The sequence below is a fragment of the Homo sapiens genome, chromosome 2 (assembly GCF_000001405.40).
Source record: "Homo sapiens chromosome 2, GRCh38.p14 Primary Assembly".
NCBI lineage: Eukaryota > Metazoa > Chordata > Mammalia > Primates > Hominidae > Homo > Homo sapiens.
This window is the reverse complement of record NC_000002.12, coordinates 21685931-21711496: the sequence shown is the minus strand read 5'-3', so window position 1 is coordinate 21711496 and position 25566 is coordinate 21685931. Positions and strand designations below refer to the sequence as shown.

Sequence of the window (25566 nt, the reverse complement as noted above, 5' to 3'; positions counted from 1 at the left end):
TTCTTAACTATCTAATATTTACACATGTGTGAGTATTGCTTTTTTAGTTTCCAAAGAGTGTTAGATCAAAAGTTGTTAGATCAAAATTTTCAAAGAAAACAATATGTATACGATGCATTGTGCTTGCTACCAGTAAATTTTGTGTAATTTTAGTGATTTTTTTTTCTGCTTTTTTGCTGCTTTGTATTTTCCAGGACTCCCAGTGATAGCCCCATTCAAGCCAACCATATTCTACCAAGACTTCGGCTATGGTCTCTGTACTCTACTTTCTCCAAGATCTTTTCTTCACGAAGGACCCAGCCTTTATCCTGTTTGGTTTTCCCCAAAGCAAGTAGCTTACCTGGTGAAAGGTAATACAAGCAGACACTAGCTGTCAATCTAACTAAAACGTAGGCTCTTTCAGACCAGGGATCTTGTCTTGTTCAGTACTTTGGTCTCTATGGTGCCAAAAAGAGTGACATGCACGTGTAATGTAACTCTGGCACTCCAGGAAAACCTTTATAAATGAAAGAGCAAGAAATAGATTGTGGGGGAATTGCTTAAGAAGTTCAGGAGTGAAAGTAGCTTGGACTATGGTGATGGTGGTAGAAAGAAAAGCAATCAAATGTAAAAGAGTTTGGAGGTAAAATACTCAGAACTGCTGACAGATTGGATAGCAGGCATGAGGAAAGGGACAGTGATATGATTTGGTTGGTTCGTCACCTAGATCTCATCTTGAATTGTAGCTCCCATAATCCCCACGTGTTGTGGGAGGGACCTGATGGGAAGTAATGGAATCATGAGGTTCCTGTGCTGTTCTCATGACAGTGAGTAAGTCTCACGAGATCTGATGGTTTTATAAAGGGTAGTTCCCCTGCACTCCTGTTAAGAAGGACATGTTTGCTTCCCTTTCCACCATATTGGTAAGTTTCCTGAGGTCTCCACAGCCATGCTAAACTGTGAGTCAATTAAACCTCTTTCCTTTATTAATTACCCAGTGTTTGGTATGTCTTTATTAGCAGCATGATAACAGACTAATACAGAAAGTGTTAGGAGCCAGGTATAAAAACGGGATAGATCGCTGTGCCCTTGACTGAGATAGAGTACATTGAAACGTGTCCAGGATGTGGGATGGGAGACAGCCAGGTAGTGGAAGGTGGAAGGTGACTTTCACAATCAATTTCTTTCCAGAGAGAAGACTGTTCTCTGGTCAAGTTTGTGCTTCTGGGAACATCTCATCAAACGTCCTGCCAGCGGGCTTAGTACTGGAATTTGAATATGGGCTTCTCTTTTCATCAACCAGCTGTGTTGCTGTCAGCTTTTATCTCGGGCTGGACACTTTGGAGTGTTTAACTGAAAGTGATGAAAGGTAAGTCAGGCATGACCAGGCTGCTGCCATAATATCCAAGAAGTTGTATATTGTTAACCCAATTTGAGAGTTTTTTTTTTTTAATGAATGTGTTTAAAGTACATTTATTTTCAAAACTCTGCCTATATTAAATTCTGTAATCCTGTTTCACGCTTTCTGGGTGTGCTTTTTCTGTTTTGTTTTTGCCACTTTGCTCTTTCATCTGGCTCAGCATTTGACCACATGGGCTATATTTTTAAATAATTTTCTATGGGATTTTGGCATGTTGACAAACATGTAATTCTCCTAGTGACGAGTTTCAGATTTTGTTAAATGGCAGTCAAACCTATATTTAAGTAATTATCAAAATTAAGAATAAAACAATAACTTTGCATCTCCTCTTAGGGAGGATTACAAATTTAATATGCAACATTTTATTTCTCTGTTCATCATGTTCCAGCCTCATAACACAGTCATCAAGCTAGAAATACAGAAGGCATCACTGAGCCCTTCTTACCCATTTTACCCTTCAGCCTATCCATGAGTTACTTAATTCTATTTTCACAGCTGAACATTTCTCACATCCATCCTGTTTTCTGCTGTAACTACTCCCTTCTATCCTGAGTCTTTGTTATTTCTTACCCAGACTTTGGCAATAGCCTTTCAACTAGTCTCCTTTTCTCTAGTACACCCTCTGAGAAGTAAACAGTGCTTCATGTCACATGAAAATTTTCCTTACCCTACAAAAAACTCTTCAGTGATGTTCTATCACCTCAGAATAAAGTGTCTACTTCACAACATGGCACACACAGTCGTTGAAACTCACTTTTGCCCACTTTTCTGGCCCTGAGCTTCTTAACTCCCACCTTGGATTTCTTTGATCCAGAAACAAGAAACTGTGTATTTTCCCATAGAATATTATCTGGTTATTATTATATATTCCTCCACATTGTCCTGCTGTCTTGAATAGCTATGCTTTCCATCTCCCTTCATCTAGTGCTTGGACATAATTCATTATTTACATCTCATATTGTCTTGGATGCCTGCTCCCATAGACACATTAAGCCCTTAACCAATACTTTGCCTTGCTTTGGTGCTACAACAAACCTACATTATGTCCATCACTGACTTTGCCATATATTAAACAATTATATTTTTATGTGCTTTTTCCAATAGATTTTTAGCCCCTTGAGGGAAAGGACTATATTTTGCTATCTCTTTCTTATCAAAGTACTAAACAATATATATAATAACTTTCTAGCAATATATTAAGTGCTCAGTGTTATTAAATGTATTTTTGCTTCAAAACATGGCAAGACTATCTGAAAACTGCAATTTATTTTTACAGGATAGGAAAATATTCTGCTGTGATTTTGTTGTTTCAGCTTCATTTGTTCTGCTTTCCTCTCTGGGGACCCCTATTATTCATATACTAGCTCTCTGGTCTTTGCTCTCCTATCTATTCTTTTCTTTCTTCATATTCATTCCTGTGACCTTTTTCTTCATTCCGATGTTTACCTATACAACACTGATTTGCTGTTTTTTGTAGTGGAAGTTCTGTACTTTATTCTTTCTTATGAGGATTTAATTTTACTCCTTTCTTTCCCCCGGGATCTGTTTAGTGGGGTTTTTTGTTTTTGTTTTTTAATTTTATCTCGAAAGAGACCACTTTGGTGGTAGAGACCAGCTGTTCTGTGTGACCTCTTGCAAATAATTTGCCCTGGCCGAGCTTCAGTTATCTCATCTGTAAAATGGACACAGTAAATGTGCCTGCCTCATGGGTTTGTTGTCAGGATTAAATTGAACAAAATGTAAAAAACACTTGAAACTAAGCATGTTATAATGTTGGAAGAAAGGACATACCACCCCACTGCTGATGTTTTCTTCCATTTAACCACGCACCCAATGGAGAAATACTTCCATCCCTCTCCTCTCCATCTTTTTTCCTCCCTTCCAGTTGCCTGAAGGATAGGTGAGGGATAAATTCTCATCCCCTTTTCTCGCTTCCTTTAGGAATTTCCTTGCCTACTTGAAGAGAGCAGACACGTTTTCTTGATTGCTCTTGGTCAAAGTTTAACTTTTTAATAAATATGTTACTCTGATTTACTTACTGTTTCTTCCACTACCTCTTCCTTGGTTCAAACTCAGGTGGAAAAAAAAAAAAAAAAGCAGTGTGTCTGTTGGGTCACCTTAAATTCCCAGTATCTGGTTTATTAGGCTGGGCATCTTAAAGAAAAGAATTTGGAATGCATTCTGAGAGATACAAATTATGTCTGGAGTTTGATGCTTATGGCACAGCTGATGTGCATGGCTGTCAGCTGGGAAGGTGCTATGCTAGGCAATGGCCACGTGGGAATTTTCCTTTATTTTTCACGATAGCTGCATATATTTAATACTTCAAGAGTAAATTCTGTAAATGCTTCTGAACTCTGAGTTTAATGCTTCAAAGGGTAAACTAGGCGCTCCAAAATGAGAAGAAATGGTTTGTTTCATGGGAACATAACCCTACTTTCTATTCCATGTTCAAGTATTTGTCGTCTTTATTGTGTTGTTTATGGTTCTTGCTGACATTTGAATAACAATGAGTAAGGATGATATCTCATATAGCATACCTTGCTATCTTGTTCTTTGGATATGCCTAACTTATAGCAGAGAATTTCTCTGAGCTTGAGGTAATCATTGATGCTTTATGCCTTGCTGACATGCTGGGGAATGGCTTAACCCATGGAGAATGCCAGATGCTTGATGAAAAAGCTTCTGTAAACTTGCACACTTGTTTTTCATGTGACTCATCAATTTAGGAGGTTTTTAGCAGTGTTATATAGTTTTAAGCCTTTCTTCTTTCTATTGATGCAATTCTCATATCATAAAATTTTTTCAATTCAATGCTTTTTATGTATTCACAAAGTTGTGCACTCCTTACCACTAATTCTAAAACATCTCCATCAGCCCAGAAAGACGTCCTTGTACCTATTGGCAGTCATTCCTAATTCACCCTGTCCCCAGCTGTGACAACCACTAATCTACTTGCTGTCCCTGTGTAGTTTCCTATTTTGGACGCTTAATACAAATCGAATCATACAATATGTGGTCTTGTGTCTTCTTTCACTTAGCATAATATTTTTAGGTTCATCTATGTTCTAGAATAAATCATGTCTTCATTCTTTTTATGGCTGAATCATATTCAAGTGTGTAAATATACAATATTTTGTTTATCCATTCATCAGACGTTTGAGGGAATTTTTGACTTTGGTTTGTCACTGCAACTTTTTTACCTAAGGACAAATGGTTGTTTCTGTAGCAGTGGAACTATATACACCAGCTTCTAAGCCAAGCTTGTCCAACCCATGGCCCTCTGGCCACATGTGCCCCGGATGGCTTTCATTCAGCCCAAAACAAATATATAAACTTTCTTAAAAGATTATGAGTTTTTTGTGATTTTTATTTTTAGCTCATTAGCTATTATTAGTGTCAGTGTATTTTATGTGTGGCCCAAGACAATTCTTCCTCCAGTGTGGCTCAGGGAAGCCAAAAGATTGAGTGCTCCTGCCTAAGCAAAACAACATAGTACTTAGCAAACTTGAATAGGATGTACAGGTTCAGGAAAGGCACAGGGAACTAGGTAGATAATGGGAACCAGACAAGTGCTAACAAAGTTGGTGGCCTGCGAGGATACTAACAAGCAAACTTTGGGCTCCAGTGGGTCCAGACAACCTTATGTAGCCTAACGGTCCTAGTGAAGCTTGACCTCAAACTATATAGATGCAGTGGGTCTGGTATTACAGGCTAATTTGCACACATTTGCTTGAATTTATGTAATAAAGATTGCTTCTTTTAACAAAATAACTGAGCTTTTCATATTCTTCTGAAACTAGCGAGGTTCTAGCTATATATTGTTAGGATCAGAACTAGCTTGATAGTCCTAGACCAGTTGCCAAATTCCATTCTGCATCCAGGGCCAAGGAAAGATTGTTAGTGGACTTTTTGTGTCTTTTCCAGAGACTGAAAAGTCACGCCCAATAGCTAGTATCAAGTCAGCTGTGGTCTGGTTTAATATAGTATATGTGAGAAGATTCCCCAGGAGATAACTCAAGTGTCTTCAGGTCAAGGAAATTTATAGCAAGAGGCAGTGGAAGAGTGTGGCATAGGATTACAGATGCTGTGTCACTAGATGTAACCCACCCTCAATTCTGCACTCCGAAATGAAAATAAAATTGAAGAAGTTTAGAATATATTAACTGAAAAACAAATGCACCTCACACAAGCCCTGGTGACTGGAAATGCTATTATTGCAAATTTCTGACTTTACTATAAAGTCTCAATACCTTAAATGCTACTTTCACAGAAAGGAGATGTTAGGAGAATATGGTAAATACATAATGCCAAAATCAGCTTCTATTGAGAATTTTTTTCCAATTGAGCTTACCACAGGACATAGATGAGCTAAAATTTGACACATATATAAGGATCTCAGGAATTAAGGCATTTAAAATATATGAGAAGTTAATAGTGAGCAGCTGGTGATATTGAAGTTCTCTGGAAATCCGTTCAAGTAGCAGATCTAGTTACTCATGCAAGCATTGGTAGAGCAATTGGTAACAAGTGACCAGCATTAGCCAAAAGTAACATCTTGTTAAAAAGCATCTCCTTAGTTTTCCTATGAATTATAGGCAACTGAAATCAACTTTTTGACATCCTAGATGGTAGGAAATAGTGGGACACCAAGGGTTGAAGGGAGGCAGGATGTATTTGATTCAAAACACAAATGGTTTACTGAAAGGGGTCCTAGAAAAATGTTTTACATGGAGATAATTGCTCTAGGAGGCAGGAATTACCTTGTTTTCATAATTCTATTATTTGAGATCAATGTTATGTTTTTATCTCCCACAATTAAAAAAAACGAAACACATAGGAGAATGGAATTGAACTAATACAAATCTGAAAGCATCTAGGCTTTATCTAGTACACGAGAATTATTCTAGCTTAAATTGAGCAGCATGATACATTTAGGAGAATACTGCAATATTACTCACCATCACATAGTGTGAATGTCAGGCACTGCACTAACAATCTGATTTATATTCATTCATTTAATCCTCATACTAAAATCAAGAATAAAATTTTCTTCATTTTATTGAGAAAAGCAGAGAAGCATTTAATTTTTACCAATTAAGCAAATTTTATATCAATTAAGTGATAGAACAGATATTAAAACCCAGGTATCCTGACCCTGAAGTCCATGTTCTTCTTCACTGTACCATACTCCTTTCTCTAGGAGAAATTTCAAATTTAAATTTCTTTGGAATTGTTTCTCAATAGGAAAATTTTAAAAAAATTTCCATCTTTATTTCGAGTTGTAAAATGCAAGGGGGTTTAATATTTGAAATTTAATTCCTTGCTCAGAATTTGATATTGAAAAGTATGTTCAAATTTTAAAAATCTGTATATAATTTCCGTGTTTATTATTCTGCAGAACCTCTGATAGACTATGTTGGGAAACCTAGTTATGTCTAGTTTGGATAGAAAGATTATAGAAATTAAGCTTTGTGTACAGAATAGATTTTGACTTCATCAATTGGTGTATTTTTCGGAAGCATTTTAGTTCCTCATAGGAACAAAATTTCATATTTCCCACTGATAAACTCAGGAAAATACCCAAAGAACCATGTTTATTATTGGATGAGTGGTGTCATGAAGTATGAATATGACTTTCCCAACTGTTGACCTCTTCCTGTAAGTGGAATGTTTACACCTCTGATCGCCTATGGGCATGATGGGGGTAACTGGGAAAAAGTGTATTACTAAGGTTTAGTCTCCTATGGAGAATCACCAATACTTATAACACTGGCCTCCTTCCAGGCCTTCAGTCACTCCTATCTTTTGCGAAAAGGAGGCATGCACCTTACTTATGAGTTAGATATAAGGAGTTTGGCATGCTCATCCTACTTCTCTTCTTTTTGCAAGTTGTCTGTTTAGAACTACCTCCCCCTTAACCCATTTATGCCTGAGGTTGCAATTTTTTGAATTTTTACATGAGTGAAAAATCAAACCTTGGTGATGACCCTGAGCAGTAGGATATAAATAACTCCCACATGCTTAGCATTCCAATAATGAAACACTGGGCATAAGTGGGTTAATTGCTCCATGTTTCCAGGTCTTCCTGGGCCTGCACCATTGACTAGGGAAGCCTAATTTTGAGATTCAGCATTAGTATTAGTACATCCTTGCCTGTAAAGGAAAGCTACACCCTCAGTTATCAGTTTTACCTGTAAGAAGCACAATATTTTGACCTATTTGTATTAATATTAATACATGCATTTACATATTTTAACAATAAACTCAAACTTGAATGGAGAAGGAGGATGTTATTTATTGGATCATCTCGAACTCTTTATAGTAATCAAACTAAATAGTGAGCATGATTCTTAGTATCTGCCTTAGTTCAGCTGCTGTAACAAGGTATCATAGACTGTGTGGCTTATAAAGAACAGAAACTTATGTATCACAGTTCTGGAGGCTGGAAGTTCAAGATCAGGGTATCAGCATGATCAGGTTCTGGTAAGGGACATTTTCCAGGTTGCAAACTGCTATCCTCTCCCTGTGTCCTTACATACTGGAAGGTGCTGGAGAGCTCTTAGGTCACTTTCATAAAGGCACTCATCCCATTCATGAGGGAGGTAATTCATAACCTAATCACTTCCAAAAGGCTCCACCTCCTAAATGCCATTACATTGGAGATTAGGATTTAAACCCAAAGGATACATTCTGAGAAGAAACAAACATTCAGTCTATTGCAGCATCATTTGTGTTGGTATCATTGGTATAGTTGTTTATCATCATCATCTCAGCTGGAACCTTTCATCCCAATCTGTTTCCTTTTCATTTTAGCCCATTCATTCCTCATAAATCATCTTTTGATTTCATGAACTTCTCATATATTTCTCGTATTTTCACAGAATTAGCTTCATGAATAATGGTTTACAGAATGTTCTTATCTTTTATTTACAGTAATCTATACCAATGGTACCCTTTTACTTCTGAAACCTCATGTTCTTTTTCCATTATTTTTATATTTATAATAAAGCCTGAACTTTGTTTTTGTTATAATCTTTGAGCAGTGTCAGTTTTATCTATCACCGGTGTTTGTCTTAGAATATGCAGACTGTGTTTAGCTCTGACCTAAAAGTAGAAGATGAGGTGATGTGAGAATTTCCGGTGTAATTTCTAAGGAATTATTGGGAAGGAAAATTTGATGTGGCTCAGTTGGATTTGTATGGTGTTGTCACCACTCCAGAGAAACAGGATGGACCCCCATCCCAAATTTGCTTTGTGTCTAGACTGTTGATGCCACACTTGCAACAAGAGGATATAAAAAGACTTAACATTCACATAAAAAGGCTTTCTAGTGCAAGCAGGAAGCCCTCAAACAGATCTGAAAATGACTTGAGAGCTAGAAAATGCCCCATCCTTAGGCTCAAAATTTTTATTGTGGTTAGGGGGTTGGTCTTGGGTAAAGGTTCCCACACAAGGAAAAGGGATTATGTGATATGAACCTCCCTCTGGAGACAAGGGAGGGAGTGCCAGGGTTTGTTTTTTTTTTTTTTTTTTTAATCAGCTTGCCCAGATACGGGGCAGAAGGGAAAAAGAAAGGATAAGGCTTTAAAACTGTCAGTAGTTGGGCATCAAAAAAATGCAGCCAGACTTTTTAACCAATGGGATTTTCCACTGTTTCCATGTCCTAACTTTTGCATGGTAGATGTTCATCTTGCATACTCTAAAAGAGAAAGTAATTTTACTGTTTATTTAAGCATAATCCATGCAAGGTTATACTGATGAGATTCAAAAGCTGTCATCATCAAAACAACAGTCGAAAAAAAGCACTGGGTGAGGTGGAATTTTTGGACAGAAGTTATGCTTAAAACTCTTATTTTGTGGGAAGGAAGAGAGATATGGAATAGCCTAGGACTCATGTTCAAGATACATAAAATAAATTTGTTAAAATGTAAGAATAATCACTAAACAATAGAAATAGCATGCATAACTTTCAAATCAACCTGGAGAAGAAAAATGAATTAAGAAAGTCAGTCAGGGAAACTGGAGGAAAAGTAGGAGGGAAAAAAGATAAATGGAGAATATAAATAAGATGACAGAAAAATAACAGGTTTATGCAGAAAAAAATCCCACACTTTTATTGTAATTTTATCTGTAAATAAGCAAAATCTACTCAAAGGAGAAATTTGTACTTATGTTGACAGGGAGACATGTCCAATGTTACTGACTGCATCGTTGTTTGTAATAGCTGAACACTCTAACAAACTTAAATGCCCGTAAGTGTGGAAATGGATCAATAAATTACAGTATATGCATACCATGAAATACTGTGCAACAATTAAAATTAACAAGATCTACATGTATAAATTAGATAGATTCCAGAAATAATGAAGAGTAAGAAAATAAACAGCTAGTAGAATGATGCATACATTATTGCCACTCTTAATTAGTTTTAATTAAGAGTTAATTTAAAAACCATAAATACTATATAGCTTTTAATGGATAGACTATGTGTCCTAGAAGTATAAAAAATACAAGCAGGAATAATGCACACAAACTTCAGGATAATAGTTATCTCTGGGAAGAAGGAAATTAGAAAATTCTTTGACAGGATTCCTAATATTTGGGGTTTTATTTTGCATTTTTAATAACCAGAAGCAAATACGGCAGCAGGTTAAAATAATTTGTACATGGATGTTTTCATATGTTACTGTCTATTTTTTTACCCACAAGAAAACATTACATACTTAACCTTGTATAAATCTAAGATATTTCCTATAACACAAAAATATTTTTTAAAATGTCAACAGGATGATAAAATTAAGGCAAGAAAAGTGGTGGTAAAGAGCTACTGGGGAAGGATATACAGGAAGTGAAGTTAAAAGGGGGCAGCATGTGGTGCCCTGGCCTTTATTACATGTGAAGGAATGGATCCAAGGAACTGGAAGAATTGGACTTCCATTGTAATGAGTGGAACTGAAAAGAAAAAGGGAATAGGAAGAGGCAGACATATAGACTTGGGTCATTTGTAGAATGAGAAGTTTCCCATCCAATGTGTTCTATTTTCTAGATAAATCTGAAGCTCAGGTTGACTACTTGAAGATTGAGAAAGGTAACAGAACATGGAGGTCAAGGTGGTTAGAAATTTGAAGACAAGAGAGGGAGTTTGAAATGGTTGCTGGGGGCAATGAGAGTGAGAACTGAATGGGTAAATAAGCAGTTATGTTTGTATGGTGCACATGAGTCTAACCCTCTATTTTTAGCATTCCCAGTTGACCTGGGTATAATTTGCTGAGCTGTTATCAGCAGCCCAGAGTTGGACATAGAACTGTACAAATTTCTACAGTTAGAGTCAATCACAGTTGAGACTCTGCCAGCCACATATGATAATCACAAGTTAGTTTAGCATATTGACAAGAAAATAGCTAAAGTAATAGATCAAGGCACTTAATCTGGATAGAGAGGAAACTAAAAATGTAAGAGGGAGGACAGAAAGACAATAGTAAAACAGAAAAATATAAATTAAAAAGAATTTTCACAATCTCTCTACTGAACAACCACTATTACACTTTGGTGTATTTCCTCTGAGTCCTTGAAAGTTATATATATATATGTGTGTGTGTATATATATATATATATATATATATGTGTATATATATATATGTGTATATATATGTGTATATATATGTATATATGTATATATATGTATATATGTGTGTATATATGTGTGTGTGTATATATGAAGGTTAGTTATATATATATGTGTATATATATATACGTATATATGTGTATATATATACGTATATATATGTATATATATGTATATATGTGTGTATATATATGTGTGTGTGTATATATGAAGGTTATTTATATATATGTGTGTATATATATGAAGAGAAAGACACAGATACATGTATGTGTACATATATACAAATACATATACACATACATACTCACATATGTACCAAATACACGTTTATTTTGTAAGCAAAAAAGAATATTATACTATAGCTAATACTTTATACCTTCTAAAATTGTATGTGACTATTCTTCCAAATTGATAAATATTCAACTAGCATTGATTTAATGAACATATAATATTGCATTTGAGGGAAGCAATCGATGGCATTGTTAAATTATCAATAATAAAAATAATCTAAATTATCTAATGCATTTATGTTATCAGTTGTTTGCTATGATTAAATACTGTTTTAATAATCAATTTGAGGTTCATTCTTTCATATATCTGAATTACTTTCTTAGAATACATTTCTAAATGCAGAATTATATCAAAGAGTTAGCACATCTTAACTACAAGTTGTGCTCTAGGAAGTTTTTACGAAAGTATAAACACACACACATATATATATTTGGTATTTTCAAATATATATATATATATATTTGATAAATTGCCTTTGAAAATTCTTCTTTAGGACTCTCTAGGAGAGAAAGGTTTATAGTACCTCAGAGTACAAGTGCTGGGACCAATAAGTGACTTTTTCTCTATTCCTTCAGAAACAGAGTCAGATATCAAAAGGAAAAATGAACACTGAACTTACACTTAATTCAGTTCCAAAATTCCAGTCTATTAAACATCCTGAGACTCAACACAACAAGGAACAATCAGTTCACATTTCCTCCCTTGGTTCAATTCTTTATTTTTGAGAATGATAACAATATTCTTTCTGCTACCCAAGTCAATCACTATATAGTTATTTTCCCTCCTGCCTGTCAACATCTAGCCAGTTTTCCTGAGCACACAAGCCATTCATCTAGCAAAAGTATATTGGGCTGACCATGCATGCAACAAGCATTTTTGCAAGGTTTGGGAAATAACGAGATGTTCAATTATACAAAATGTATACTCTCTCTTCTTCAATATTTCTACAGAATTTATTATGTGTACTGCTCTTTGAACCTTAAAACACACAAGCTGTGGCAGGTAGATCAGGTTTCCCAGAAAACAGAGTCCAAGCTGCAGGTTTGTGTGCAGGTGGTTTATTGGGGAGTGCTCTCAGGAAAAACAAGTATCACCAAGGGAGGAAAGTAAGATTGGGCACAGGGCTATGTTGAATGGTGATGCATTGCAACAGGGACAGTAGCCAGTCCCACAGAGAGAGCTCTATAGCTAGAATAGACCTTCAGAGCTGTACTCAATGGAGGCAAGGGGGCTGGGACTCTGCATCTCCCCATAGAGCAGTCATTGAATTTATATTGCCCCTAGAGAGACAGAGTAACTTTGAACAAGGCAACTACCTTAGGCCAAGGACAATTCTTGTGGAATATTCATCTGTGAGTATTCAGAGGGCAACACTCTTGAGAAATGGATACCTAGGCCCTAAAGAGGCAGAATCTGAGAAGCCATGCTAACTTGGATTAGTGAGCTGAGCTCTGGTTCTTGGAGAGAATCAGGAAGAACAGCTATTAGGTGTGGGCTTAATACCTGGGCGATGGGTTGATCTGTGAAGCAAACTACCATGGCACACATTTACTTATGTAACAAACCTGTGCATCCTGCACATGTACCTGGAACTTAAAATAAAAATTGATTTTAAATAATGCTTTGGGCTCAAACTATAAAAAGAGACCACCATATATACATATATAAAGAACTGGCTTATATGTGAGGCTTATATCATCAATAGAATTGTAAACTCTTGACAACTACAGAAGGTATGTTAAACTTCTCCTGTTTATTCATAAGTCCAGCATAATGTTTCATAAGTATTAGGTGCTCAATAATACCTGCTGTTTAATTTGACAAAATCCTGCCTCTTAGTTTTATGAAGCACCACCTGTCCCCACATTCACTTTCTCACCTATAGCTGCCATATTAGTCTAAGCATTCATAATTTCTTGCCTTGACTATTGCTTAAATCATATAAATAATTCTTACATTTTACCTCTTTGATAAAATCTCTCTGGTATAACAGCAATATGGTGGACCGTATCTTTGTGGTTAATCAGTGTGGTTACTGAACTTTAAACATAATATCTTATAGTGAAGCCGTGTATTAAATATGAACTTTCTCCTCTTGTATGACCTATATATTTACATGGTTTGGTTTTATGCATCTGATGCAAGACCTGTGTTCGCTAACCTTCTTTGTTTAGCACTGATGTACAAACATGTTTTCTTCTAGATGAATAGTTTACAATGTGCTTCTGTAAAGTCTCAGGGTAAAAGCTGAGAGAGACCAGATAAAGCTGAAGCAACAGATATTAGAGGCAACAACCATACAAGTATTCTGGCCCAAGTCTGATCACAGGCATGGCCCTTAGGGACCAACCCTACTGCTTTCCTATAATTTTCATCTTAAAATCCTAGTTCTTCAGCTTTTCTCCCCAAATATCAGAAGTCACAGCTGTGTCAGGTCTCTGTTAATAGGGAAGATGATATTTAGAAAACCCAAAGAGGGGTACATGAGCTACCATCCAGGAGGCAGATGAGTCAGGGTACATGTGGAATCCAATGTACACTCTGACTTGACTCTGCAAAAATTCAAAATTTTATCCATTTCTCTATGCTCCAAGCATTTATATGTTTGGAGACACAGCATATAAATTTTCCATCATCTGATCAAATAAAATTGCTAAATTCATTGTATTTGTTTCTGTCTTTCTCTCATTTTATCTTCCTCCATTCATTCTTTTAAGATACTCCTTGCCTGTTATGAACCAGACACCACATCAATTGCAATACAATCAACATCTCAATGTTGATATCTATCCTTATTCATGATTATTCCAGTTATACAGTAATTGAGGCTCAAAGAGATTTTGGGTTTTACCAAAGGTCACATTTCTAGTAAGTTAAAGAAGTGAAAAAGTATGGAATAGTTCATACTTTTGCCAGTGCCCCATCCTGTCTGTCCACAGACATCTGGAAGGGAAATTATCTTTGTGGTCCAAAAATATAAATGAAGTATGTGCCCAGTTGTTTGGCACTGCTTTAGATCTGCCCACTGTAGAATCTGCCTGCTCCATCAGGATAGAGGCCTGCTAAGTGTGTGTCCTTGGGTTGGCGGGTGAGAAAGAGGAAGCCCTATCTGGAACAAAGCAACGTAATAACAATGTCAGACATGAATTGCACCTTACACATGTTCCATTATAGATATCTGCCACAGACGATGCTGACTTCTTTAAAAATATCACAAGTGGGTGACCGCTATTATACAAAGCTCTGTGAAATGGAATGACTAATCTATAAACATAAGCATGAGATTGAATAAAATATATATAAAGAAATATATGTGATATTAATTTAGCATAGACAGTACCATATCCCATAGAACTTCTTGCACAATGCAGTGACACACCACTGTGTTATTAATGCTTTGGAAAAATTTATTTATTCTATTCCATTAGTGTATTTTAACAAACATTGCTCTGGGACAGTATGCCTGCCAATTTATGTTTATGAGACTGTCAACATAATTTACATGCAGACAAAAATATGATACAATATTGCCAATGCAGAATCGCCTTGTCAAATGATATTGTCACAAAAAAATGAAACAGTACCCCAGCTGAGGAACCAAGCATATTCATCACTGTTCGCTGCACAGAATTTGAGGTGACACACTGAAATACATTTAATGCCTTTTTTTCATGCATCAAATGAATAAAAAGTGAATGAATGAGGTACTTCTGACTGCCATATACTGTGCAAAAGCAAATAGATTTCTTATTTCCCTCAGAAAAAAAAATAAAAATAATACATGGGTTCCCGAAATAGTTGACAGAATTATATTTATTATTCATTTGGAAAACTGAGTATGCTACAAAAATCACGAATGGTTCTAAAGTGTTTGGCTGCAATGATTGAGACTGTCATGAAAGGAGATGATGGCAAACTAAGAGTTCCTAATCCACCCAGGATGAAGAACAGGTGCAGTGTGGAACAATGGTAGTTGTTTGGCCTAGGACCTTGGGCTAAATAATACAAGAGATTTTAATAAGACTGCTTTTTCTAGAAGGTGAATAATTAGATATATGGACTTGTCTTTTCTCCACTTTGACTACTCCAACTCTAAGGGCATGGTTTCTGGACACTGGTAGGTTCAAGTCCTGGTTCGAGCTGTACATAACTGAGCTTCAGTAGTATGTGAATGCTTCAGTGAAAAGGTTTTCCAATTTTCCCTTTGCTGATGGCTTGTAAGCTCCAGAGATTTCACTGGCCAGGAGAACACCCAGCTTGGTTCCAGGGAGGCCATCTGGGAAGAACACAGAGCTTTACCAGTCTTGAAGGATTTGTTCTCCAGGTACTACCTTTGCTCACTGATGAAAGGCCCTCTGTGCTGGAGGTGTCTTCCTTGCTGTGGGCCATATCATCAAAGGTGAGGCAAGTATACCTGTGGCCTGTCTGCCACAAGCATGCTTGGTACAAAGGGACCAAGCACCCTTGTTCTCGCCATAGTCCCTGTCTCATAGGAATTCCTAAAGTAAGAGCATAATGGCTCTAGTAAACTTCCTGTTGTTAGAACATATGTGCCTAGAAACTATGTTTTTAAGAGGAGAAAAAAGAAATATCCTGGGTTCAGAAACAATGAAAGGAGTTCACATTCAATGTTCACAATCTGCACGGTGCTGGATTAGCAGCAAATTAAGGATCCTGAGTTCTTTCCTGAAACTTTAGTTTAACAAACAGAAATGTTATGAGTAACAAAAGAAGACTGGAGGAACGCTTTGTGTAGGGGTAAGGAAAACATGCATAATTGGAGTCTGAAGCCCTACTCTGCTACATACTCCACAAAAGACACTCTGATCCTTAGTTTCTTCATACATAGAATAGGACTAATAATTACCTCGCAGCTTTGTTGTGACAATTAAATAGGAAATTGTCGACTCACATGAAATGCCTAATGTTCAGCCATTTTCTATGTACAAAAAATAAAAAACTGGCAATAGTATGTAATTCACCTAGCATGATCCCAAGCATATAATAAATGCTTACTGGATACAGGTTTACTAAACATAACATGTTAAAAGTTGAAGAAGCTATGCAAAAGAAAAAAGTTAATGCATTAATATATTACTACTACTGCTGCTACCACTATTACTACTACTAGCCTGCTGGTCTTCGTCAATGATATTTGAAATGGAATCTTAAATATAACATTCCAAATGTCTCAGTACCATGTAAGGCATGTGATGAAACATGAGATAGTCTACCTCAATATGGATTTAAATTTCTGTAGCACATATATAGAACCTTGCCTATTTATCTTTAGGTTCCATGAACATAAGGATTCCTATGAGAAAACATTTTTCCTGAAATTGACCTCTACTTCAAGACATTGAAAACCCTGTTTAAGCTGACACCTCCCATTAGGTAGAATGGAACTTGTCATTTTGCATTTTACACTCTCATTGACAGTATTGTCCAAACAGCAGCTGGCTTCTGCAATTGACACTAGAATTTTACTGCGAATTAATAGCTGGACAGAATAAATGATGGCAGGATGATGTGGGTGCCTAACACACCATTAGAGGTGAAGGGACAGACAGAGCTTCTGAGAGTGAGAGTTCTGAAGCCCAAATGCATATCCAATTCATTAGTTAAGGGGGAGAGGAAAAGGGCAGAGCATGAAGAAGGAAAGTAATGAAAGAAAGAGGCACTGAGACAGGGAGTAGATAAAGGAAGGAATGATAATATAATGGAGAAAAATTACTGTAGAAAAATAGGATGATGCATCGTTAAGAGTCGCCCACACCTGCTGGGTCTGAGAGAGGAAAGTGTTTGCATTAGGCACCAATTGGAATGAATTATATGACACTTTTTCTTTGGCCAGACAAATTTCTTTCTGACCCCAGCTGGTGATCAGATGGTGCCCTGGAGAATGAAGATGACTATCTCTTGTCATTTTGATCTCTGCATTGAATATTACCATTTCTATCCTTACCAAAGATTTAAATCCATTTTAAAGAAACTGTACTAATCATCTTATCTGAATAATAACTTGTAGCCTAATGTATATGGGATATTTTGGGGTGACAAAGGCAGAATTTAAAACAAAGAAAAAATACTCTTTCATGCCCCACTGGCATGACAAATTAAATTATATTTTATCTTGTTTTAATTGCATGGAGTGATACACATATTGGTCAAAACCACTACTGAATTTGATAAATCATTGAGTCTGGAATTTTTCACTAAAAATGCAAATAGATTCAGATGATTTGCTCCAAGCATATTTGCACCTAAATCAGAAAATTTATAGTCTCCAGAAAGACCATTGAAATGTAGAGTCAGATATAAGCTCAGCTGAAATAATTTTAGCATCAGATGCTAAGAGCCAAATAAACTATGTAAAATAATATGAACTTTTTAAAGCCAATGCAAATATGTCAAGACTAAAAAATGTCTCTGAGTGAGAGAACTTTCACACAGCCTTCACTATATCAGTCAATGGCCTTAAATTGTGGCTTTCTATATTATCTGGAGCTCTGGCCTTAGAGCAGAAAGTGGAATCACAAATGAGATACACATTTCATTGTGGTCCTACCTACCATTATATTGACGACTACAATCAGTGTGTTCCTAAAAGGTACTATTGCACTATTGGTGGGTGGCTCAGATGAGAGTTTTGACACACAGACCAAAATGAGTTTATATAGAGATTTACATAAAATCTATGCTATAAAATTTCTTTTAAAATAAATTTATGTAAATATAAATTATTTAAAGAAAAATATTAAATTTATTGCATGTTAATATGTCAAAGTATGTCAAAAATTGTGTGAAAATTGTGACTTTGGTCTCTGAATGATTAAAGTTTGCCAAACAGGAGTTTAGATGAAGGCAGAAGTGGCTGTTGGCCAAATCTCCAGATGGTTCAAATCTAAGAGGGATGGAGCCAAAGTCTGATAAGGGAGCCCTGATGGAGGGGGGGAGCACTAGGCTGAAATTAACAAGAATAAATTAAAATAGTATAAATGCAATTTTTTATATTTTAGCTAAGAAACAACATCAGAACAAGGATGAGGTCATGGGGCCTCTCTTTACTACAGTTTATATGAAAATAATGTATTAATATTATAAAGGTCTTGTCATCGTGCTGGTCTTCACAGTGTATAAATTTTATTTGTCTAACTTTCTACTTTCACCTTTTGTCAGTATAGCTCAATACGAGTCAGAGTCAAGAACTTCCTGGAAGCATAATTTAGGATCTAAATAGAAGAACATAATGGAGAGAAGGGCAGTGTTTGTCCTATTCCAAAAAGAGAGACAGGAAAATAAAATCAAGCCCTGTCGTTTCAATCATATGTTTGATATTGGCGGTAAGAGAAAATAAAATGTTTTTAGTTCCCCAACCTTTCATAACATGGAATCTTCTTTTCTCCTATACTTCTCTCTCTTTTTGTCTGTGTAATCTTGAAATTTATAAATATGTCATTTTTAATATATCATTGATTTGACAATGTTTTTTAAAGTTTAGACTTAGTTTTATAACTAGTTATAAAATATTTTTACTTTTATTTGAAATGGGTTTTCTTCCACCTCTTTGTAACATCTGCATTTCTTACTTTTGGCTTCTATGTCTTCTTCATCTCCTTATCAGAAGGCTATATCTTCAAGAGCATGGGTATGTACACACAGACACCTTTATGTTTTGAGTGTACTTGGCTGATAGAAGATCTGAGCCTTTGCATATCTAAAAATGTTTTCCTATACCTTTCTACATAAAACAAAAATCAAGGAGTCTGGATAAAATAATCTCAATTTACAAAAATGTTTCTTCAAAATCCTATCAATTCTCATCTATTATCTGACTGTTGGTGTTAAAGAGCAAAAATTCAATAATTTCATTACTTTAAGACACTATATTTCTAGTTTTGTCTTTTCCCCGCTAATGAATTCAAATTTTTGTTAGTAAGTTTGTAGGTATTTTATTTAGCTGATCATGCCTGTAATGTTGTGAGACTCTTCAATCTACGTAGGTCTTTCTTCAGTTGAAAAAAATATGTTTGTATTTTCCCCTCCCTGCTACCTGTTTGGTAATTAATTAGTCTTGTGTTGCCATTCCCTGCCCACTATGTTTTTTTTTTTAATTTTGTTACCCTATGGCTTTGCATTTTGAGATTTATTTATTTATTTATTTATTTATTGATGGAGTCTCACTGTCACCCAGGCTGGAGTGCAGTGATGCGATCTTTGCTCACTGCAACCTCCGCCTCCCAGGTTCAAGCCATTCTGGTGCCCCAGCCTCCTGAGAAGCTGGGATTACCGGTGTGTGCCATCATGCCAGGCTAATTTTTGTATTTCTTTTTTCAGTAGTGATGAGGTTTTACCATGTTGGCCAGGCAGGTCTCGAACTCCTGACCTCAAGTGATCTGCCCGCCTCAGCCTCCCAAAGTGCTGGGATTACAGGCGTGAGCCACCATGCCAAGCCAATTTTGAGATATCTAAATTGTTTTTCTACATGACAGATTAAATTGCTGCATCATCACACCTACCTCCTCTGCCTCATCACCCTCTTTGTGCTCTTAGACTTCCTGAGAACTTCCCTCATCTCTCTTTTCATAAGATGTTACCTGTTACCTCTCCAGCACGTCACATTACTACCTCTCCTTATAGTTTTAATTTCTATTTTATAAAGAATACTCTCGCACTCTAAGGAGAAAGACAGTTTCCTACAATTTTCTTCTGGAACTTAGAATACAATATTTTCAGAAATCTCCCCTAGCTTCTCCTGTGTCTGAAGTTGTTTATTTTGGCTGCATAAAGAATCTTCCTCACCCACACAATTCCTCCTCTTCTCATCCTTGAGCCAGTTAAGAATAATTCACAGCCATTATTTGTCAACAGAATATGCAGCTTGTCTCCTTTCACCAAATTTATCATTGCCTATTCTCTATCAAGGGAAAGGAACTACTACCATTGCAACTGTATTAAAATGTTTAAAAAAAATTAGAAAAAATTAAAAACACTTACAGATTGTATTAGTCCATTTTTTAAACTGCTATAAAGAACTGCCCAAGACTGGGTAATTTATAAATGAAAGAGGTTTAATTGACTCACAGTTCAGCATGGCTGGCGAGGCCTCAGGAAAGTTACAATCACGGCAGAAGGCTGAACGGGAAACAAGACACCTTCTTCGCAAGGTGAAAGGAGGAAGTGCCAAGCAAAGGGAGATAGCCCCTTATAAAACTATCAGATCTCATGAGAACTCACTCACTATCACGAGAACAGCGTGGAGGAAACTGCCCCCATGATTCAATTACCTCCACCTGGTCGCTCCCTTGACACCTGGGGATTATGGGGATTACAATTCAAGATGAGACTCAGGTGGGAACACAAAGCCTAACCATATCAAGGATCAACCTTGATACATCTTTCTTGCTATATTCTGGTACATTAGCAAGTCCTGTGGGTTTAACCCTGTAAATATATCATTAATATCTTCATTTCTGTCCTGCTATCATATTAGTCTAAGGCACTATGATTTCTTATTTGAACTCTCTAGATAGCCTCCTAATTTGTTTTTCTATATCTACTCTTCTCTTGCGCAGAACGACCTTTTAAAACTGCAAATGAACTTATGGCTCCCCAGGTGAAAATTCTTCAAGAACTTGCCATCGTTCTTAGGATGAAAAATCAATTAACTTCACATCATCTACAGGATTCTTTATATTCTAGCACTTGCTTCCATCACCAGACCCATCTGGTGCTCTCCCGGTCCGAGCTTTTCCCAGGCTCCTAAACAGAACCTGTTCCTTTCTGCCACAAGATCTTTGCATTTAGAGTTTCTTCTGCCAGGAAGCTCCCTACCTCCACCCTATGCAAAACACCTTGTTAACACACAAACTCCAGTCTGTCAGTTCAAATGACATCCTTTGGGGAAGACTTCCTTGAGATTCCACATAAGAATTAATGCCCCTCTTACCTATTCCTAGACTACACTCTCATTTTCCTTTATAGTACATTTCACAGTGTCAACTATACTTCTGCCATTATTTCACTGTCAGTGTCTTTCATCTCATTAAAAACTCTATGCCATAGTGACTGTTTCTGTTTCAATCAACATTTGTTGAATTCATCATTGAATCTCTGTGTCCTCTTCTCAAAGATGCAGTTGGAAAACAGGTTAAAGTGCAGAATTCCTTATTCAATCCTATATTTCAAGTAGGCTTTTAGCAAATTCTTTCATTCTCTATTGAAATGGCAACTGATGTTTGAGAAATTGCAATTCCTACCATACATTAGAAACAAGGTTCTTCAGCCTTGCCCACCATGACTTCTATCTGAGGACTCATGTTCAGAATGTTGGCTCCACCAGGTTGCTGCCCCAAACCCTCCAGTCAATTTCGGATCTAGCTGAGATTTACATCAAAAGTCACCTCTCTGCTATTGATAAACTGGCCTCTTCAATTCACTGTATTATATCTCCCTGTTTTATTTTCTTCTTCATAACTAACAATTTATTGGTATTATTTGTCTGGCTCCTCCACAAATTTCTTTAGCATAAGGACCCTACCTCTGTTGTTTCCACTGCATTCAATCACAAAGTACAACTGGAAAAAACCAGACTAGAATAAGAGATATAGGATCATCATAACATCATCAACAAAACCTGGCTTAATTTGAAGCTGCTTTGCGCTCTCTTTGCTTTCCTCTAACCATGCTAATATTAAAAAGAGAAGCCCTTTTCTGATGCATTTATACCATCCTACACAGACCCAGACCATGGGCCCAGGCTAAGATATATTCATGGAATTATGTTTGCAAGGTGAAAAAAGTGTCAAGAAGTGGGAGACTTTCTCTGATCTATTCATTATTTTTCCCTTCAAGGCACCAGGGGAGCCAGAAGAGCAGAAGAGGTGACAGCTGACCAGAAAGAGACTGGCTCTGCAGCCTGGGCAACCTGTCATGGAAAGGTACTGCAGCTGCAGGCCTCAGAGCTGTCCAGAATTACTCTCATGAACATGTTTGGGAAAGAAGTTATGAAGTAGAGGCAAGAGTGTGTTACAGGTAGGAGTCTTTTTAGGGGAGCAATAGGATTGTCCTCTTCTTAGAAATAGATTTTTTTGGCCATGATCCCTTCTTTCTCCTACCAGAACTGCTTAATCCCATTGCCTGAGCCTTCCAGCCTGGAGATTATCCATCATGTGACTAAGAATGAGATGACACCTGTACAGATACACGATTTGCCTCTCAGCTGTTTAGCTGTTTCTATAAGAAGCCTGAGCCGTTAAGGTACTCTCAGGGCAGGAATGACCTAGAAGAGATGGAATATAAGCTCAAGACAATAAGATGGGGGCCTGGTCAAACACCCTTCCTTATGTGAACTAGGAATCTTGGTTATAGCCCATGTTTTTCCTTCTTCTCCAAACCCAGGTGATGATTTTGGTTTAAGAGCCTCATCTATGAGAAATTCCATATCAAAATTATTGCAGGGAGAATAGACCTCTTCCATTATCTAGAACAAAAGTTAGTATTTTCCCCTATGTCTTCTCTTTTCTTTCTTCTGTACTTCCTATTACTTTTGGTGCTGTAGAAAAATTTCTCTGTCCAAAAAGACGTGAAATATTTCAGACATATTTTACCAAGGGTGTGTGTAGCACACATCAACTTGCTTGAGCTTCTCTGATATATAGCCAATGTTTTAATGTTCCCATTTAGCCAATCCATAATACATCTTCACAGTGTTGGCCTAATCACAAATGACAAGGGTGGAAAATGTAATAAAGACAGGGGCACATTAATCTACTTTGTATGAAAATGTGGAAAGGTAATCCAATTTTGAACTGCTTGCTCTTACAAAATATACATAAGTTTGTATGATTTCTGCATCTTAGTTGGGGAGATGGTAGTCAATCCTAAAGAGTTATATTTCAGGTAAAGAGTCCTCAGTCCCTTACATGTATGCACAGAGGTAGTGGCCCATACTGAGAAATAAAGATGGGGACTCTGGGGAATGAGTTGCCTGATGGTCTATTGGAAGCCTCTATATCTGGCAATATTCAGGGGTGTTCATTCCTGTAGGTCTTAGAGAGAGATTCCAATATTAGGGATGCTGTTGTGTCTTCCCCTGCATAGCCCCTAAGGCTAGTTCATATGAAAAGTAAATCTGACTCTGCTCCCTAAAAACAAAGATGAAAAATCCATAGAAGGGAGGTAGATTCAGCTAGAAAGTGTATTTCTAGCAGGGGAGTTGGTGTGAGGGAGAGAATAGTTATGATGAAGTCAGGCTTGTCTTAAACCACATCTGATGTCATTCCAATCACTGTGTGTGTCTGCACTTGTGGGTTGTCTGCATGGCATGCATGAATGTTGATGCATCTGCAGTGCTCTCACCCAGCAGAGAAGCATAGAGAAATGTGAGCTCTGGACTTAAAGAGCGCTGAGTGTTAATCTCACTTTCTATTTGCTCTGCGACATGACTAGCAGTCCAACTCCTCTGAATCCCAGTTTCTTTTTCAGTGAAACAGAGATTGTACTAGTTATCTCTTAGGATTAGTAGAAATACAGGACCCAGAAATTCTATTCTTAGATATCTACCCAAGATAAATACAAACAAAACATAGGCAAATGTGTACAAAAACTTGTACATGGATGTTCATAGCAACATTATTCACTATAGATAAAAGGTGGAAACAACCCAAATGTCTATCAACTGACAAATGCATAAACAAAATGTGGCTTATTATTGAAATAAACAATGGAAAATTATTCAGCCATTAAAAGGAATGAAGTACTGACGCATGCTACAGCATGAATTTGCCTTTAAAACATTATGCTAAGTGAAAGAATCTTGTCACAAAAGACCACATATATGATCCCTTTGTATGAAATGTCCAGAAAACAGAAAGATGTAGTGACAGAAATGAGATTCATGGTTGGCCTAAATTTTTTTCAGTAAAAGCAGCTTTCCTTCCTGTTTGAGGAGGATCGTTTCTTCTTTCTTGTGAACTTATACTGGTTTTCCTGCCATGTTCTTTCCTTACAAGGGCTTCTGATTCTCCTAAGGACATATCTCCACCACGGTTTTTCTCTTCCTCAGCTATAACCAGTATCACATCCTAGCAAGTGACTCCCAGAAGATGAGGTTCACAAAAGGACCTATAAAAAATTATAGTACACACCAAAATAATTGCATGATTTTTCCAATTTATATAAATAGAATCCATGTGTGTGGGAATAGATCCTAAGGCTGTTGGATAATGGTGAAAGGAATATATATAATATTGGACTGAGGATCTGGGAATAATCCTACTAGCTTGTTTGCTAGGTTGACTAAAAGCTGGACATGAAATTGACCTAAATTATGTTAAATGGAAATGCTAAAAATCCCCTGGCATATTGTAAAGGAAAATATCTATTGGCTTAAGAAAACTAGGATGCTAGAGTGGATGTTATTAAGTAAAAACATGCCTTGTTAGTATATCCCCTAGAGGACTCATTCTTCACTAATGCTATGAAAAATATATTGATGAGCAGTCCCCTTGCATCCTTGAAGAACTCTCTGATAGATCCATTAACTACATGAGGACTGACAGTGAAAATTATTGCCATTGAAATGAAGTTCCCCAAATCCACTGGGACTGATGGGCTCCAAGAGTAGCAGGGCCAAGTGATGGTACTTTATCACCAAGATCCAGGTGGTAGTGGGTGTTTTAACCAACTGCAGATCCAAAGCAGTGATCAGATTTATTTTTGGTTAAGTTGATAATGGTGTCCCTAGAACTGAAATCAATGGACAGACTATTAAAATCTTACTTGATATGTCTTAGTAAAACTCTCTAGGTCTGAGAAGCAAAAGTCTGACTTGAATGAGTACAAAATGGAGTCATGGCCCATCAACCAATTCCCAGTTTGGGGCCAATTCACGGGTGCATTACCTCTTGAATGAAGGGGCAGCTGAGCCCCATTGAGGAAAGACGCTGCCACATTGCCAAAATTTACACTACAAGTCTTTCTCTTAACCTTTCCCAAAAGAACTTGTGGCTTAGTTATTTACCAGGGGAAATTGCACTGGAGAAAAGAAACTAATCACACTTTTCAAAGATTACTGAAACAGGTATGAACTTACTTTAATTCCCAGATGCCCAGAATGCTGCTTTGGTCTACTAATCAGAATAGTGAGGAAGGTAGAATGATTAATGGAACTTCACTGAGTTCTGACTTACAGTGGACCCAATGGGTCACCAATCACACCCTGTGTTTATTTCCCCTGTTTTAGAGT

General features: G+C 36.8%; 1 long non-coding RNA gene across 1 annotated transcript; it reads left to right on the top strand.

Moving 5' to 3' along the window:
- Nucleotides 1–844: 844 nt before the first annotated feature.
- Nucleotides 845–24063, top strand: LINC01822 (long intergenic non-protein coding RNA 1822). Its single transcript, NR_038837.1, has 3 exons — nucleotides 845–902; nucleotides 1171–1348; nucleotides 22173–24063. It is a non-coding gene; the product is annotated as a long intergenic non-protein coding RNA 1822 (long non-coding RNA).
- The last annotated feature ends 1503 nt before the right edge of the window (nucleotides 24064–25566 follow it).